General features: G+C 38.3%; 1 protein-coding gene across 6 annotated transcripts in view; it reads left to right on the forward strand.

Annotated features, from left to right (window-relative positions):
• The window catches only part of ITPRID1 (ITPR interacting domain containing 1), a 144631-nt gene continuing 125818 nt past the window's right edge, over positions 539-19351 (forward strand). For 3 of the 6 annotated variants that reach the window (XM_011515213.3, XM_017011872.3, XM_017011871.3), the window contains exon 1: positions 539-654. The gene's annotated coding sequence lies outside the window, so the exon portion shown is untranslated. Of the gene's footprint in view, positions 655-4029; positions 4787-16205; positions 16273-19351 lie in introns of those variants that run through there. The other 3 variants (NM_001257967.3, NR_047565.3, NM_001257968.3) reach the window with 3 other exon arrangements.

Below are 19351 nucleotides of genomic sequence, written 5' to 3' on the forward strand. Positions count from 1 at the left end.
TTTTGTGCATCTTGTATATGGTGCTCTGTTTGCCTTCAATGTCCTCCCCACAGCCCCAACCCTATTCAACCCTCGTTCATCAGGAAAGTTCCTATTCGTGCTTCAAAACTCATCACAGGCATTATCCCCTGGGAGAGGGCTTCCCAAATTCCCTATGGATAACTCATCACCTCTCCCTCTGTGGCCTCAATATTCCTCCACGGAAGTTACTAGTTGTTTTTACACTTGTGGCCCTAAAAGGCTGCACGTTCTTAGGGGGAGAGGAAAGCAATTTGTTCATCTTCACATCTCCTTTTTCCAGACGAGTGTCTGGCATGAAGTAGAGCTTATAAAATCCTGAGGGTCCGTGAATGCTGGAAGTCTCTTTCAGTCTGATTTAGTTGTCTGAAGGTGCCATTCTGTCGCAGGCTTCTGTTTTGATTGTTTCCTGATCCCTTTGGATGAGGAAAACAGGTTTTTCCTTAGGACAATGGGTGTGGATTATGAAAATGTTATGCAAGATTAGTCAAATGCTACACTGTTTCCTTCAGGAACTTTCAGATGGCTCAGGAGTGGAGCTTTTGTGGCAGGTGGGTAGAGGCTGCTGGAGGGGGCTTTCATGATCATCTGCTTTGAGGGATAAACATTGCTTGTCCCCTCCTCCAACTAAGGAAGGTAAGACTGTTTATCAAAAACTTTTGTATGTGTGTGCTCTAGGAACCTAAATATTCTCCATGATCATTTCAAAAAAGGGACACAAAACGTTTACCTTCTTCTCTCCCTCTAGATTGTAACCTAGCTAATAGGCTTCCTTTAAATGCAGGTGAAATTGATCAGACTGAAGTTGTTAGAATCAAATAAAATAATGTTAAATGCTGTTGGTGATAAAGGAGTTGAAATGTAAGAAGGAATATTGAGTATTGGCCATTTCCTGGATGGGGGCAGAGGAGAAAAAAGCTAATCTGGAGTTGTGGGGGCTAATAATTGACAATTAAATATTGTGGTTTTGAGAGCTAGCCAATTCCAGGGAATGAGGGAGAGAGAGAGTCCAGCAGGTAAGTACAGCTTATAAGCACGGTGTTGCTCCATTTCTAGTTTTCAGCTAGTAATATTTTTGTGTGAGGATATCGCTCCAGTATAATTTGCAAAATGCCACAAGTCAGAATAGTATGTTGGTACTTCAACTTTAACAGATATATGTTGCTAATGAATAAGATGTGTTAAATACTAATGAAATTGAATGTTCCAACCAGACTAGATAGCATATTTGCACATATATATACACAAATAGATATATAAATTGCTTTATATATACTATAAACATGAATTTTATGTAATATATAAAGGTTAATATTTTACATAATATATATAAAATAAAAGCAATTGTGTTTTTAGCAGGTACCTTTATTAAGTCATTCACAGCTCCCTCTCACTTCTCCTGGTTCAGACCTGAGAGCCTGGCCCATTTCAGTAACAATTTTAGGGGAATTGACAGAAGAGAAGAAAGTGGTGATTTAGTAATTATCTATTCTTATTGGATAATATATAGCTAACTCATAACTTTACCAGACCATTTTCCTAACTCCTCTAAGGCAAGAGATCAAGAAGTGGGAGAGTTTGGAGGAAAAGTTTTGCTTTTTAAAAAAATTGTTATAGGAATACCTTTTCATTCCTTTCCACTACTTCTCCACTAGAAAAATACATGAACTTATAAAGGCAATGAGGGAAATGCTCTGCTTTCTACAGCAGTGGTTAAAAAAAAAAAAAGAAAAAACAGAGAGAAACAAGTTGTGGTATGTCCATGCAATGGACTAGTATGTAGCCACTAAAAATAAGTCAAATGGAGACCAGCCTGACCAACATGGAGAAACCCCATCTCTACTAAAAATACAAAATTAGCTGGGTGTGGTGGTGCATGCCTGTAATCACAGCTACTCAGGAGGCTGAGACAGGAGAATCGCTTGAACCTGAGAGGCAGAGTTTGCAGTGAGCTGAGATATCACCATTGCATTCCAGCCTGGACAACAAGAGCAAAACTCCGTCTCAAAAAACAAAACAAAACAAAACAAAAAAGAGTCAAATGTATCTACTTGGACATACCATGATGTCCAGTACGTGAAAAAGCCCAGAGGACAAGGATTGGCAACAACTTGATGTGATTATTACATTGTAAGATTGAAAACGTAGGGATATGAATTTTCACTTAATTTTATACACATTGTATTGTTTAAAATGTTTGCAATGAGCCAAAATGATATATTTCTTATCTACAGAAAGAATGATGGAAGGAGGGAATGTGAAGAGAGAATGAGAACAAGAGAATGAAGGGAGCAGGGAACAAGCAGCTCTCCAAAATGTTGTGAAGTTTTAACGAGGCTGAGCTTCTGTTTCATATAAGATGATAAAAGTACTGTGTTAGGAGAAGAAACAGGCTAGATATTTGTACCTTTCATAATAGTTTTTTTTTGCCAACAAAATATTAGGTTATTAAACATTGACCTTGCAGCAAATTAAATATGGTATTAACCACATTAATGGTTAATAAATAAATATGGTATTAATGCCCAACTTGGACGAATTTCAGTGAATCACAGAGACACATAGGATTGGGTGAGGAAAGGAAAGAGAATAAGGCTAGAAGATTAATAATAAACCCTCTTTGTAAAACACAGTATATAATGTGCATAATCACCTGGATGTCTTATTGCACATTTAGGTTTGTTGAAGGTTTCTGCGTGTGTGTGCATGTGTATGTATGTATGTGTGTACTATTGGTTCTGGGAAATATGGAAAATATTTTCAGAGAAAAGAACTAATATATCAAACCTTAGACTCTATAAAAAGCTGACCCAAATTATACAATCTTGTTTATTATTTCAACTACATGTACAAAATTCAATTATGACTCTTACTGTCTAATTTAAAACACCCTTGATATCCCGCAAATCTCAGAGAAATCCCAGGGAGGGTAGTAGACAATGTGGCTGAGTTAGAGATGCCATAGCTCAGGAAGAGAAACGGCTTGCTCTAACAGACACAGATAATAGTTGGCAGCACCCAGATTTGAATGTAAGTCTGTCTTGCCAAAGCTTATAAACTTAAAAAAAAAATTGTCTGAATACAAATAGTACATGCTTAGATAAACTCAATTAGAGCCTATGTGTCCATTTGCACTTTCTACAACAGAAGTTTTTAACAGAACCTCCAAAGTAGTGACTTCTCTGTGACAAGATGTGACTGGTACCAGAAATGTCTTTCTCAGAAGTTGCTGTGATATTGTGGCCAGAAGTGGTGGGTTCTCGGTCTCGCTGACTTCAAGAATGAAGCCACAGACCCTCGTGTTAAGTGTCACAGTTCTTAAAAATGGTGTGTCCAGAGTTTGTCCCTTCTGACGTTCGGACCTGTCCGGAGTTTCTTCCTGCTGGTGGGTTTGTGGTCTCACTTCGTGGTCTGGCTGACTTTAGGAGTGAAACTACAGACCTCTACCGTGTTACAGCTCTTAAAACTGGTATGAACCCAAGGAATAAGCAGCAACAAGATTTATTGCAAAGAGCGAAAGAAACCACCATTCCCAGAGAACAAAGCAAACCTAGCAGATTTCAGGTTTTGGTTCGGGTGGCCTGCTTTTATTCCCTTATGTGGCCCCACCCACATCCTCCTGATTGGTCCATTTTGCAGAGAGCTGATTGGTCCATTTTACAGAGAGCTGATTGGTCCATTTTACACAGCGCTGATTAGTCCATTTTACAGAGAGCTGATTGGTCTGTTTTGGCAGAGTGCTGATTGGTGCGTTTACAAACCTTTAGCTAGACGGAAAAGTTCTCCAAGTCCCCATCCTCCCAGAAACCCAGCCGGCTTCACCTCTCACCAACAGTGGCTGCGGGACTTTCCAGCACCTAGCCTGGGCATTCCCACAGCCCAGAGGGAGCTCGTCCCAGACAACCAAGAGGAAAAGAAGGGAAACAAGAAAGAGATGGAGACCCATCATTGTGGCCAACGACCCCACGAAGAGGGAATAGCGGTCCACGCACGGGACCCAGCCTCCGATCAAGCCCAGCAGGCGCCGGGTGCGCCTGTGCTGGGAGGCAGAGCCCACGCCCACCCGGAACCGCGCCGGCCAGCGAGGTCCGTGCGCAGCCCCGGCTGCCGCCTGCGCTTCTCCCTCCACACCTCACCGTTAGCAGAGGGAGCCGGCTCCGGCCTCAGCCAGCCCCAGAGACAGGCCCCCACAGCACAGCGGCGGGCTGAAGGGCTCCTCGAGCGTGGCCAGAGCAGACGCCGAGGCTAAGGAGGTGCCGAGAGACAGCGAGGGCTGCTAGCACATTGTCACCTCTCAATACTGGAACTCAGAATAAGAGGTCTCCACTGTTCTGAGTTATGGGAGAAAGATGGGTGTATGGTAGACAGAATAGTGCCTCCCCACAACAAAGATGTCAACATGTTACTGTGTGTGTTAAAAGGGACTTTGTAGGTGTGAGTAAGTTGAAGATCTTGAGAAGAAAAGATTATCCTGGGTTTTTTGGGTGGGGCCAATGTCATAAAAAGGTCCAGATAAGAAAGAGGCAGAAGAGTCAGGGTCAGAGGAGGAGCCATCATGATAGGAGCAGAGAAGCAGAGTCAGGAGAGTTGATGCTACACTGCTAACTTTGAAGATGAAGAAGCCACGAGCTATGGAATGGAGACAGCCTCTGAAAGGCAAGGAGATGGATTTCCTTTAGAGCTTCCAGGAAGGAGTGCAGGCCTGCTAACAGATACGTTTTAGCCCAGTGAGACTAATTTTTAGACTTCTGACTTCCAGGACCGTAAGGTAATAAATGTGTGTTGCCTAAAACTACTGTTTGTGATAATTTGTTATACCAGCACAAGGAAACACATATAAACTATAATAGGCTCTTCTAGGTGAACTCGATGTTTCAAGTGATCAGGGTCCACGGGGAATAGGAATTGGATAGCTGGAGAATGTTGCTGAGTGAGAGATGGCAGAGTCAATGATGTTGGAAGGCCCTTTGAGTTTGACCTTGAAGTGCATAAACCATGAATTATGATTTTCCATCATTCTTCCTTAATCTCAGGTCCAAGGAAAAAGCGGTATAATTAGAATGAAACACATGTAGCAATATACTCACTTTATCGCACGGGTATTTTCTGTGTATTGTAGAAAAATCTAAAAAACAATTCTAACAAGGTCTCAGGAAATAATTATCCTTGTATTTTATTCTTCTGTATTTTAGCCAATCTCATATGTTCAGGCTTTTGTAAATTTGCAAGGACAAATTTAACAGCAAATAAATTATTTAAAACCTACAGAAAAAGTCTTCTAAACCAATTCCCACAGAGCAGACATTTCCTGAATCTTAATCTTCTATCAGATTCCAGAAGATGCAAAAGAAGTTGGGCAAGTCACATAATCTCCCTGAGATTCCTATTTTGTGACGTTTTCCCTAATTCATTGTAACAGGCAAAGAACCTTGAATCTTAGATCTAGAAAAATCCCCAGAGATGACAGTAGCCCAAATTTCTCATTGTACATATGAGAAAACTGTGGCAGTGACTTGTCCGAGATTGTATCCTGCAGCGTGCTCTGCAGGTACCCCAAATGCTCAAGACGCCAGGTCCTACACAACATGGTAGTGATGCAAAATGAGATATTTCTTGTTCTCAAGAAGATCATTATCCAGGAAGGAAGATAGAGAAATAACATACGTGTATAGAATGGTTGGTAAGGTATAATGATTGAAGTTAGCACAGGGTATTGGTTGAGCTTGGAGGAGGGGCACATAGCTCAGACAGGCGTTTCTCATCATGAATACTCATTAAATTTAAACACTAAAATTGTATTAACTTCTTGTTATTTTACAGAAATAACTGTGTCTCCTCTGTCAATTATTCTAAAAATGCAGTCATATAAAATGAAGAAAGTAAAAACTGTTCGAAATCATATCATCCAGAGATGACCACTGTTAGCATTGTGTTATATATCCTTACATAATGATGTTCCATCTATACATAGATATATACGCACATGCATATATGGTTCTATTTCTGGTATCTCTCTCTCTCTCTCTCTCTCTCTCTCTCTCTCTCTCTCTCTATATATATATATATATATATATATAAATCTTATGTTATCCTGCTGGTATTTGTCCCTTTCTTTGCACATTATCATAAATATCTTATTTTAGAATCACTGAATCTCAGAGTTGGAGTAGGTTTACAAAATATCTTTTAATCCAACCACAAAATAAATACATTTTAATTTTTTAATAGTTTTCAATATAGACAAAATTGTAGAGATCTCTCTACCCACTTTCTCTATTATTAACATCTTAAATTAGTATGATACATGTGTTTATAATCAATGAACCAATATGGATACATTATTATTAACTAAGTCCGCCTTTATTTAAACATTTTTAAGTTTTTACCTAACTTTTTTTTTTGTTTCATGATGTCATTCAGGATGCCATATCATATTTAGTTGGTACATCTCCTTAGGCTCCTCTTGACTGTCACAGTTTCTCAAACTTTTCTTGCTTTTGATGATGGTTAAATTTTCAAAGAATACTGATCAAGTATACTGCAGACTTTTTTTTCAAGTGGAATTTGTCTGGTGTTTTTCTTATTATTACACTGGGGTTATGGGTTTGGGGGAGGGAGACCACAAAGGTAAAATAGCATTTTTATCAAATTATGTCAAAAAAACACACTATCAACCTGACTTATCTCCATTGATGTTAACCTGAACACCTGCCTGAGATAGTGTTTGTCAGGTTTCTGCACTGTTAAGTTACGCTTTTCCTCTTTCCATACTTATTTTTTGAAAGAAAGTCACTATGCACATCGCACACCCAAGAAGTGAGAAGTTATACTCTACCTCCTTGAAGGTGGGAGTATCTACATAGATTATTTGGAATTATTCTACCCAGCTTTGGCCAATAAGAGCTCTTTCAGTTGATTCCTGTGTCTCTTTGACATACCACATCATTGTGTGTGTGTGTGTGTGTGTGTGTGTGTGTGTGTGTGTGTGTGTGTGTGAGAGAGAGAGAGAGAGTTTGGCACTTTTCTTACTTTCTGGCACTATAAAGTGATATAAGCTCATCTTTTGTATTTCCTGCCCTAGACCTAGAATCAGAATGGTTTTAGAAACCAAGATCTGGATACCAGCTATGTTCATTACTAGTGGAGTGTTTTGCTTCTAGGCCCTCTCAACAGATAGAGGGATGAAATATATGTGTGTATGCTAATCCATGTATATACATATACCCATGAAACTTCCATATGTAATCATTTATACCTATATTAAGTTAAACATGAGTTAATACTGATGTCTCCATCTCTAATCCATTCCTACATGAATTATTCTAGACTCTTCTGCTTGCTTAGTTGTAGATTTCCACAACTGTAAGAACCCTGGCTTCACATTACAAAGGCTGTCTTCTCTCTTTTCTTCTCATTTCTGGCTAGAAATTTGTCCATTTTATTGTTCTTTTTGAAAAATAAGGTTTGGTTTCATTGATTTTTTTTCATTGTTTTCCATTTAATTGATTCTACTCTTATTTTTATTATTTCTTTTTAGTTTTTCTGCTTGCTGTAGACTTACATTGCTCTTTTTCTCTACTTTCCTAAAGTAGAAACTTAGACTGTAGATCTTTCTTCTTTTCTAAAATATGCATTTAATGCTATAACTTTCCCTCCAAACGTTGCTTTTGCTACATTTTAAATTTGTGATAGGTTGTATTTTCATTTGCATTAAGTTCAAAATATTTTTCTAATTCTCTTGGGATCTCTTCTTAAACACATGTTATTTAGTAGTGCATTAAATTTCTGAGTATCTTGAGATTTTCTAGATATTTTTCAATTATTGGTTTTTAGTTTGATTCTATCATGGCATGAGAACACACTTTGTGTGATTTCTATTCTTGGAAACTTATTAAGGTGTATTGCATAACCTAGAATGCATTCCATCTTGCTAAATGTCTCATGTGAGCCTGCTACTCAAGATTATGATATGTAGATTATCTCTGAGACCTCAGTTCTGGAATGTGTCCGAGGAAAGTTGTTTCAGTTTGTCCAGCTTTTTCTCCTTTCCCTCCTTCCTTCCTTCCTTCCTTCCTTCCTTCCTTCCTTCCTTCCTTCCTTCCTTCCTTCCTTCCTTCCTCCTTTATTCCCTCCCTCCCTCCCTTCCTTCCTTCCTTCTTTCTTTCTTTTGACACAGGGCCTCGTTCTCTCACCCAAGCTATAGTACAGTGGCGGTGATCACAGCTCTCACTGCAGCCTCAAACTTGCCGGCTCAAGTGATCCTCCCATCTCAGCCCCCACCACTTACCCGAGTAGCTAGGACTACAGGCATGGACCTCCACATGGGCTAATTTAATTTTTTTTTTTTTTTTTTTTTTTGGTAGAGACAGGGTCTTACTATGTTACCCAGGAATTTTTCTTTTTATAAGGATAGGAGTGACAACTTCCAAGCTCTTTATGGGAAAAAAAGCAAAAACCAGAAGTTTCAACAAAAGATTTTTATTTTCTTACCCCAAAATTAGTGAGCAAGTCTTTTTCTAACTAAGCACCTCCAGGGACTGCGAACTCATTACTCATCTCATTACTGAGTATTAGGAAGTTGTTTTTCATATTTCTCCGATGCTGCTCCCTATAGATCCAGCCAATGGGTCTGACTCTACCTATGTTTCTTCCACAGACCCACGATTAAAGTATGTGAAAACAACATGTCCTCTCTGACTCCCCTCCCTTAGGCTAGCCACCTTATTACTTTGACTTCTCTATTTGAAATCCTTCACCATCTTGTAGACTAAGATTGCAGTGTGAAGGTCACATTCACTGCCATTGAGCACTCACGGTGAGATACTGTGCTATACAGCCTTCTTGGGGATACATTGATGAACCAAAACATAATAGATGCTCGTCTCATGGAACTTATGAGGAAAGTTGCTCATGAAGGAATAAGCCACACTTTTGTTTCAATGAGGTTTTACTTTTGTCTGCCTTCTGCAGTGTAGAGCAAGTCCATATTACTCAAAGTTGGGACAGATGCATTCTTTCGAGGATCCTTTTTACCCAGTATCAGTCTGTCATGGAAATCTCCTGTTTGCTTATGATCTGATTTGAATGTCTTTCCCTGAATATCCTAGGCATGTTTTCATGATGCTAGGCATTAGACAGAAATTCCAGGGATGGCAAGCTGTGTAGAACACAATCTTAAATTATAAGAAAGTTAAAAACAAAGCAAGCCAAAACTCCCGTATTCTTTATTTGGTAGCTCATAATATGGCAATTGAGTGTTCGTTAACTTAAAGGTATAAATAGAGTTAGTTTGACTGCATATGAGCCACATTTATTACTTTTCCCAAAAATATGAAATAGGGAGAAAATAAGGGGTTTGTAGATATAATGTACGTATTCAAATCCTGCCACCTATATTGTATGGGGAAATGTATTTAACCTTGGATCTTCAGTTTCTTCATCTGTGCAATGTAGATAGTGAGTTTTTGATTCATAGGGCTAATGTAAGTTTTAAATGAGATGATGTTTGTAAAGCACTCAGCACAGTGCCTTGCATTAAGTAGATACCCATGCTTAGTTCCTTTCTAAATTTGTCTTAACACAAATTTATTCTTTAAGACGACAAGAAGGTTGCTGGTGTTGAGGGTATGTTTGCTAAATCGCAGACAAAAGCATTCTAGTCTTACTAATCAAAGAAGAATTCAGCCATTTTGATTCCTGTATACAGGATTGAGATGTATGGATTTAACTAAGGAGTAGATACTAGGAAGAAATGGATATAAATGCTTCTTTGACTCTTAACTAGTTGACTCTTTAAACTGATTGCAAGACAAGGGTGTCACGTGAAGAGCTGCCTTGATGATATCCCTAAAGTAACTCCCAACTAAACTGAGGGTGATTGGGTACTCAGAGATATCCAATAGTAATCCATGAGGGATTGATATAGATTGAATACTTGTTCCTGCCCAAATCTCATGTTGAAATGGGATTCCCAATGTTGGAGGTGGGGCCTGGTGGGAGATGTTTTCGTCATGGGGGTGGATCTCTCCTGGCTTGGTCCTGTCCTCATAATAGTGAGTGAATTCTCAAGCGATCTGGTTGTTTAAATGTGTGGCATCCCCACCTCTTGCTTTTGCTTTTACTACCTGCTCTTTCTTCACCTTCCACCATGATTGTAAGCCAGTTGAACCTCTTTGCTTTATAAATTACCCAGTCTCGGGTATTTATAACAATGTAAGAATAGCCTACTACAGGAGTGTTAAGTGCTCTCAGACTGTTTTATGCTCAGTGTTCCTGGTGTGGAATAGCAAAATATAAACTAGCTCTTGTTAGGATTGAATCAGAAGCCTGGGCTTTTTTCTTACTAAGGTTTGCTGACCTAAATGTTAGTTGTAAAAGTGTTGGTTCTTCTTGAACCATTGAAGAGCTCTTTAGACTAAAATGTCTTGGAATCATTACCCTAGGCAATACTGAGGACATTCTAGGTCAGGAAATCCATGGAAGAAAATACTACAGGGGACAGCGCAGGAAGTATATGTTGGTAATATGACAACTACTTAATGACCCTGATATTGGTGAGTATCCAAGACAAGGTGTAGGTAAGATGAGTCCACTCAGTTTTCTATGACATGTCCCAGGATTCTCCCTTTCAACCAATAATGCAGTGGGGTTGGTAGAGAAAGGGGGAAAATCAATGCTCACTTCCTATATTACTGTGTCAAGTCAATCCAGCACAGATTATCAGATATTTACTGAGCAATCCTTTCCTATGAGCAAAATAAATGAAAATACTTCCCAGCTGCCTGGAGTGTCTTAGAAAACTTTCCCCCAAACATTCATTTGTGTCCTGAAAGCATTTTATATCTCAGTTACAGCAATGAGCAATTCACAGCACATGCAGCCATTTTGAGTCATGATTAGTGGTCCCATTTCGAGATTAAAGATTAGAAAGCTGCCTCCATTTTGTTACTTTTCTATATGGCCAGAATTAACATGTTCATTGTTAAAAGGCAATTTCAGTTTTCTTATTGACTTTCATCTATTCTGTAGAGTGAGCAATCTAAGTCATAAGAATGTACATTTTCCCCCATGGGGATCAGTAAAGCAAGGTAGTAAAGGAAATTTTTTGTTGCTGGTTATAATGCAGCCCATAAGCTTTTTTATATGTTTTGAATTGGCCTGCTTCTAAAAAATTTTATTCACCTATCCTCTGTTATCTTAGTTTATTTTACGTAGTATTGTAACTATTTGTTTATGAGTCTATCTTCATCTTACAAAGAGAGTTCCTTAATTTAGGAAGAATATCTTATTTTTATATCAATGGTACCTAGAAGAGTGCTAGCTCAGAGATTCAGCTCAATATGAAATCTTTATTGAGATGAAATACAAAAGGTAAGATTCAGGTTCAGGTGTGAAATCCAGTCCAGATTTCATTACTGAGCTCTAGATCTATGTATCCAAACTGACTGTGCAATTAGTATTATTATTACATTCACTATTACACATACAATCATAAAACATAAAATGATGACTCAATCAAGTTTACAGGCCATTTATCATGCATTATTGAATTAACCCCTACAATAATTCTGTGAAGGAAGCATCTGTAAAAGAAGCATCTGCACTGTATTGATGAGAATCCTGAAATGGAGACATGCCCAATGGCATAGGTAGCAAGTGCTGGTGCCAGAGCTGCCACTGAGCACTTGTGACTCTAAGTCCTAACCTTTCCATCTTTTCCTTTGTCAAATACAGGGTGTCTCAATGTCATCAATCTTGATGTTTGGGTTAAAAAATTCTTTGTGGTAGGGCTACATCCTTGGCCTCTATCCACCAGATACTAGTAGCATTCTCCACCCCATTGCGACAATCAAAAATGTCTCTAGACATTGCCAAAGGTCCCCTTGGGGAAAAATCAGTGCTAGTTGAGACTCCATGGTATAGTAACAGGCACAATGTGGTAAATGTTCTGGAACAGGCATAAGCAAAATGAGGGGAAAAGATGGGGAACTCCTACACAGTAGAGGCAGCATTTGATTTGGATCTTTACTATAGAAAGATTGAATTGACCTGGGAGGACTTACTGTGATGAGAAAGAATACCAAATATTTGGGGAGCATGCATGATGTGTCAAATTTAACTCTAAGGGGGGAAATACAATAGAAGCATTGTTAAAATGAAACACTATCTTAAAGTCCATCTAGTGGAACATAGAGCAATTTGGGGCCACTCAATCTCATGCTATGCATTTAACAGCTAGATTTATCATATTATCTACTAAAGATTACTTAGGAAAGAATTGCCTCCTGTTTATTCTTGTAGCTTACTAACCTATAAATCAGTCTCAGTCATCATTTAATTGTACTGTACATCGAGATTGTGTTTTCTGGTAACTTTCTGGCTCACTGGGAATGTTAAAAAAAATACTTAGCTTGAGTCTCTGTGCATGAATTGAAAGGAAGAAAAGCTTACCTTCAGCTCTCTTCATCTAGCCAGGGCTCTTGGCCCTACCTGGAAACTCTGTCAATAAACATGACAACTAATTCTCTGGCTTGGTTTGGTGAACATAAAACAACCACACTAAATCTTCTACTTCCCTTTTATTTAGAATTGTTGGAAAACTGAGAGAGATTCTGATATCTCTAAAATAACATGCTGTCCTTCCTCAAAATAACTTTAGAAAGTGTATCGCAGTTGGTATACAGCTGGTCTCTGACATATGATGATTTGACTTAACAATTTTTCAACTTATGATGGGTTTATTGGGGGTTAACCCCATTATAAATCAAGAAGCATTTGTACTTTTTGAGCTCTAGGAGTCAGATAGGCCTACGTTGCGAGTCAGAGAGGCATAGTCAGACTAGTTGTAGGGGAAAAAATGGTTTAACATCTGTGAAGCTCCGTTTCCTCATCTCTAAGATGGGTTAATAATAACTTCCACCTAAACTTTGTGTGAGAATTAAGTAAGAAAATGTTGTAAGACTTTAACTGTGAGGCTTGGCACAAACCAATATAAATGGTGGCTATCGTTATAATCATCTCATTATCTTAATGGTTTTCAAATTATACTTCCTTCTCCAATGCCTGCTCTATAGATGAAATGGTATTGACCACTTGCACAAGTTGGAAAACTGAGATCAATTTTGACCATTGCGTCCCCCGACAGCAATCAGTCCGTAAGACCTGCAGTTTTTTTTCTCCCACATAGTTCTAAAATAACTCACTTATCTACATTTCTACTCTTGGGGCCATGATTACAGTCACCATAATATCTTACCTGGTCCCCAGCCTCCTTTTTTCAGTCTTGTTGCTTCCATTCATTCCATTCTCCATATTGAAGCAAGAAGATCTTTTCAGAATGAAAGTCTGATCATGTCACTTCCCACTGCCCTCAGAACAAAGTTCAAACCTCTTATTGGCATGCAAAGTCCTTCATATTTTGATTACTCCTTCCCTTTCCAGTTACATCACTTGACATTGACTCCTCATTTATTATGTAGTAGGCATGCTGAGGTTCTTGTAATTTTGCAAGTGGAATTTATTCTCTCTCTTGACCTCAGACCTTTGCACCTTTGCACATGCTGTTCTCTCTCCCTGAATCATCCTCCTTCTCCCCACCCCATGCAAAGGACAGAGGCTTACCTTTACTTACTCATACTTTATGAAGGCTATTCCAGTCAAAGTTAATTACATTACTGAGTTAATTGAGAAGATGTTAAAACTGCGCCTCTTCTTTTAGCCTGGTTTCCCATTAATGGTAGAAACATTATGTCAGAGATTTCAGAGACCTTAGCCCTAGTATGCAGTATGTCAAAAACTCACTTTGTGACACTGTCAAATCTCTTAGCTTTTCTGGGTCTCACTTTCCTCACTCCTACTTTCCTATTATAGGATAACTGTGTAGATCCAAATAGGTTATAAGAATGATTTACTTATTAAAAATGTGGAAAATGCATGACATAGGTTTTCAATCTCACCTTTTGTCATCTCCCTCAATGCCCTGCTAACTGGAGCACCTCCTCCTTTTAGCTTCTTTTCCTTTCTCTCAGCCTCCTTGGCTAAATTCTATCCCTGTTTAGAATCGCACATAGACTCTGTAATTTCCAGGATGTTTTTTCCAAACCCTTGAAGCTGGACTGAGCACCTTACCTATTAGATTTCATAGAATCCTCTCCTTTTCCCAAAACAAAAACAACAGCAGCAGCAGCAACAATAAAACAAAAACCCTTAGCAATTATTTTGCTGTCTTAGAACTTATTTGTCTTCTTTCTTAGAGAGTGAATTACTTCAACTTATTTTAACTATCTCTTTATCACTAAGGATGATATCTGTATGTTGGCAGACAGACCTGAAAGGGAAGTGTTCTATTTGGAAGAGTTTTCTTGGAATTACAGTGCTTTGGTTATGAATCACCCATTGTTTCATGGACCACTATATATATAACACAACACATTAATTTTCATGAAGAAAATTTCTTTTTTAAAAAAATCCCATGATGCACACATCATTATTCTGAATTAACTATGCCTCTGAAAAGGAAATTGATTTCCCCAAGGTAATGTGAGTAGGAACTGTGTTTTGATAGGGTCCTATTCTCCTAATTTCTAATGCAAACTTCAGTGCTCTGAGTGCTGCACTCTCCCACAAAAATAAGTTATATGAATACATGTATAACTAATGGATAATCAAAGTATGGGTAATTGAGGTTGTTTATGTGTGTATGTGGATGAAATTCTATGCCCAGTTTTATTTTAAAGATCAAGTCTATTAAAATCTTCTAGAATGAAGCTATTAAAATAAGGTCATCATTTTGCAAGTACAGTTCTGGCCATGGCATTTCGGTTAAAGTATGCTTTGTCATTAGCCTTTTTACAAAGCCACCACATCCTGGTGGATGCTGAGACAAAGTTGTGGTCTTCTCAGGGCTGAGTAGGCAGTACATGCCACAGAGGAAAAGGAGGCTGTTTTGTCATGTCAGCCTTGACACACTCCTGGGCTCCTGAGAGGCAGAATTTCAGCCACTGGTGATGAAGGCAGGGAGAAGTCTTAAGAGACGAGAGATCTCCCAGAATAGGCTGAGGGCTAGTTTATAGGGCTAGAAGGAAAGTATTCATATCTTGCTCATTGATGCTTGGAGCCCAGCAGAGAAACTTCACGAGCTGTCATAGAGGAAGAGGAAAGAGTTGATGAGGCCTCCTCCCCTCTTTCCCCTCCTCTTTAATCTCAGAACTTCCAATTCATCTTTTCTCATATTGGGGTTCCTCTGTGTTTGAAATGAAATATAATTTGAAATGCACAAGATCTTTTACATCATTTTAAACTCTAATAATGCAGCTTATCAAAATGAAGGATATTGTTGAAATGCATGTCTCAAGAAAAACATTATTTTTAGGTAGTGCTTTAGCATTATGTCATATATAAGAATGCATGGCAAATGTAACAGTGGAATTTAATTCAAAAAATGAGGTCAGTAGTGTGCCTACTCATCTTCCTAATGTGAAATCGTCTCATCTCTCAACTAAAATACTTCATAGATAGTGAAATTCTATGGATGATAAGACTGACTGTTAGTTCTTACTCACAATTTGGACTTCTTCTTTATGGGTTCAGGAGTATGTATGTGTATGTTTTGCTCCCTCTGAATTTTCCAATAGAATTTCCAGTGAATTGAATCTCTCCATCCTGAATATCAAGTTCTGCTGTCCTCATTTCCAGTGATGGTTTGCAATGCAAATCATTGGGTTGGTAACACACAGTGTCATAACCATGGTAGCCAAATGAAGACAAGTTTGCTTTACTTCCTCAGTGAAGTGCATTCCAGTCCTGCATTCAGACCTGCCAACAGGTCAAAGAGCATTAAAGGAACAGCAAGAGGTTTCACAGAAATAAAACCACAACGGAAACCATTGTATTCATTCTCCACACACTCTTCCTTTCAATCCAGAAGTTGTTACTAGTAACTCCTGCCATTCCTAATGACATTTTTACCACTTTCTTTCTTGTAGAGAAGTGGGTAGAGAGAATCACTTTGTGTCTTTACCCTCAACTTGACCATGGCTTTAGGCAAACAGACTGTCTTGGCTTTCTATGACCAACTTTTAAATAGGAGCAGACAGAAACTTGGGTCATAGTTCTGCAGTCACAAGGGCTTTGTAGTCAGTCTTAGCTGCTGGAACATTCAAGGAGACAAAAAGGCACAGAAGATCTCCACACATACTTTGATGCCAACTACAGCAAGTTGCAAGACCATTTCTCTGCTGAAACTCCTTTATTCTGGTACAGTAACTCTTATAATTTGTTTTTTTTCTTTTAATCCAGCCTGTTGGGGAGGGGTATTAGCTGTCTGCTCTCATTTTCTCTCAGTTGGAATGAAAGGGCAGCGATGGCGTGTTCTGAAACTTCTTTACCTGCAGCTGTGTGACTGGGTGATTCCTAGGAAGAAAAACTATTAGCAAGAAGATGAAGTGATCTAATTGTCATGGATTTGGGCCTAGATGATTTCATTTACCCCCAGGACTACCTAGGTGGCTGCCATTAACATGGAAAGGTCTAAAACACAGGGGATGAAAATGCTTTGGGCTCAAAATTGCTCGGTTATATAGCCTCTATGTTCTGAATACTAGTTCAAGCAATGTTTCTGAGGAGTGATGCAGAAATTATATTTTCCCTTCTTTTTATTGCTATTCTTTGTACTTAGGACTTTTTTTGTCTTTCTTGCTTACCTGAAGGAGGCTTAATTCATTAAGAAAAAGCTAAAGAAATGAACTTTCTCATTTTTAATTAATCAGTGAATTCACTAAATATAAAGACTGAACGTGATGTACTGGAGCCATGTAGGAATGGAGAAAGCTGACTCAGGGATAGAGTTGCCAGATAAAATTTAGGATGCCCAGTGACATTTGAGTTTTAGATCAATAGCGTATCTGGGGGGTATAAGTATATCCCAAATAACGGGGCACAGTTATAAATAAATAGGTCACAGTTATGCCCATAAATGTATTTTTTGATCTGAAATTCACATGTAATTGCCTTTTATTTCTATTTGCTAAGACAATTCAATTCAAAGATGAAAATTGAAGATTATGAGAAAAATCATCCATTTCTCACTGTAAACTTTCACTGTAATTTTCCATTGAAAACTTGCCTAATTATCATTGTCTTATTATACAGTATTGGGAAGTGACTTAATACTTGGGTTCAAACCTTAAAAAAAGGAAGCAATAGTCCAAATAATTATAACAAGTCCAGAGTTCATTGTTTGTTTCATAATGTTAACACATGAGTTAATCAGTTTCCCAACTAGGTATTGAAACTGATCATGATTACGATAATATATAGGATCTATATCTTCTGGTTCAGACACCAGAGTACTGCCTGATTAGCCTTGCTCAGAACTTCTCTACAAGTACTGTTCAAGTGGCCATCCAATGTTCTGGGAGATATTGATACTTTGTCTTTTGGGGCTGCCTCTGGAGTAGGTCTGGGAAAACTCCAGGGCTGGTCATCTCCCAGAGCAGGCTCCTCCAGGACTTTAGAGGGAGCCCAAATGGAGCTGGGTGCAGAGCTGCTCTGTGCATCAAAAAGCTGGAAAGCACTGACCAGAATATCAGAGCATAGTTTAGGCATGTTGGAAATCCTGCAGAGTTTGCATAGTTACAAGATGATCTCCATATACTACAAAGATAAATAAAGCAAGTTGATAAATTTTAGGAAGAAGGAAATAATATAGAGAAAATAAAGATTCTCCTTGGTAGCACTTGGAATTATCCCACAGAGTACAAAATAAAATATTTTTAAGAGTACCTAATTTTCTGATTATAAGAATAATTCATGAACATGATAGAAGATTAAGAAATTAAGGAGCATATGAGGAAGTGTTATGATTTTCGTTGTTATCGTTTCTTTCTAATTTGGTTTTGAGGTCTCTCTCTTGAGTGGCCATAAGCCAAGATAGCCACTTTTCAGGAGATCGTTCACTGGGGGAGCATTAGGTTTGGCTGTGTCAGTCAGGTGAGACACAATGAAGCTGCGAAAATAAAATGCGTGAAACCAAAGAAATGTATTACTCACAAGTCCCAGACTGGCTAGGGGTGCTGACAGGAGGCCTACAGGAAGCCCGCAGGGAATTCAACTAGTAGAAGGGAGCAAGAAAGAGAGGGAGTCTGTGGGACTTTATTAAGATCCATGGGTGTTTTTCTTTAGGCTTTCCCACAGGGGTTGTGGATTGGATAGTTTAAAGAAAACACACACACAAGGGAAAGCTTATTTACATGACTCTGATGTTGATCATTAGGTTTTATCTTAGCAGCTGTGGGGTGTGTTAGGTTTTTGGGTCAGGGAGATGAGGAACAAGTGGGCTATATTACAATCACATAAGGAGGAGAAGTTTTAACTGAAGCTGAAGGTAATAGCGTACAACTGCATTTTAAACAACTTACGTCAGGCCTAAAAATGGATGTCAGGGCAGTAACTATATTAAACAAATTTATGACAGGAAGAACATAATCATCCTGATCCACCAAGAGAGTTTCCCTATTGGCAATCTGAACTAATTCCTTTCCATTTTGAGATAATATATATACAATTTTATAACATGTTTATTTTATTTTGTTGCATGTATGTTTATTGTATCATAAACATTTTCTAATGACATTAAAGTTTATAGTAACAGTTTTAATATTGGATATTTGAATATTTAAAACTGAATAATTCCACATTGTTTATTAGAAAAAGTGTTCTTTTCTGTTTGTTATGTTGCCCATTAATGACAGTTTTATTTCTTCCTTTCTAATTTTATTTCTTTTCTTGTTTTATTGAGCTAACTAGGACATTCTGAAAAAGGTTGAATAGAAATGATGAGAGCAGACATCCTTGTGTCATTTGCAATTTGAGGAGGAAGTGCTCAGTCTTTCATTGTTAGGTATGACATTAGCTGTAGGATTTTTCCAGATATACCTGTGGTTTGAAGAAGTATTTCTATTTCTAGTTTGTTAAGAGTTTTTGATCATGAATGGGTGTGAATGTTGTCAAATTCCTTTTCTGCATCTGCTAAGTGGTCACATGGTTTTTCTCCTTTATTCTGTTTTTATGATGAATTTTGTTCATTGATTTGTTGAAGTGTTTAATGCTTTATGAGAAATGCGCTTGCAAGGTAGAAAGGGTGAGGGAAAAGAAAACAGAAGAATGCAAAGCAGATACCAGATGATGTTTTAGCAAGCTGGCCAAGCAAGTTGGCCACTTCACAGAAATGTACTAGTTGTTCAGCCATTCACAACATCTCTGGGCTGATATTTTAATAATAAACCAATTTCACATTCCTTTAACAAACCCTGCTTGGGTTATCCATTTTACATAT

The sequence above is a fragment of the Homo sapiens genome, chromosome 7 (assembly GCF_000001405.40).
Source record: "Homo sapiens chromosome 7, GRCh38.p14 Primary Assembly".
Taxonomy (NCBI): Eukaryota; Metazoa; Chordata; class Mammalia; order Primates; family Hominidae; genus Homo; species Homo sapiens.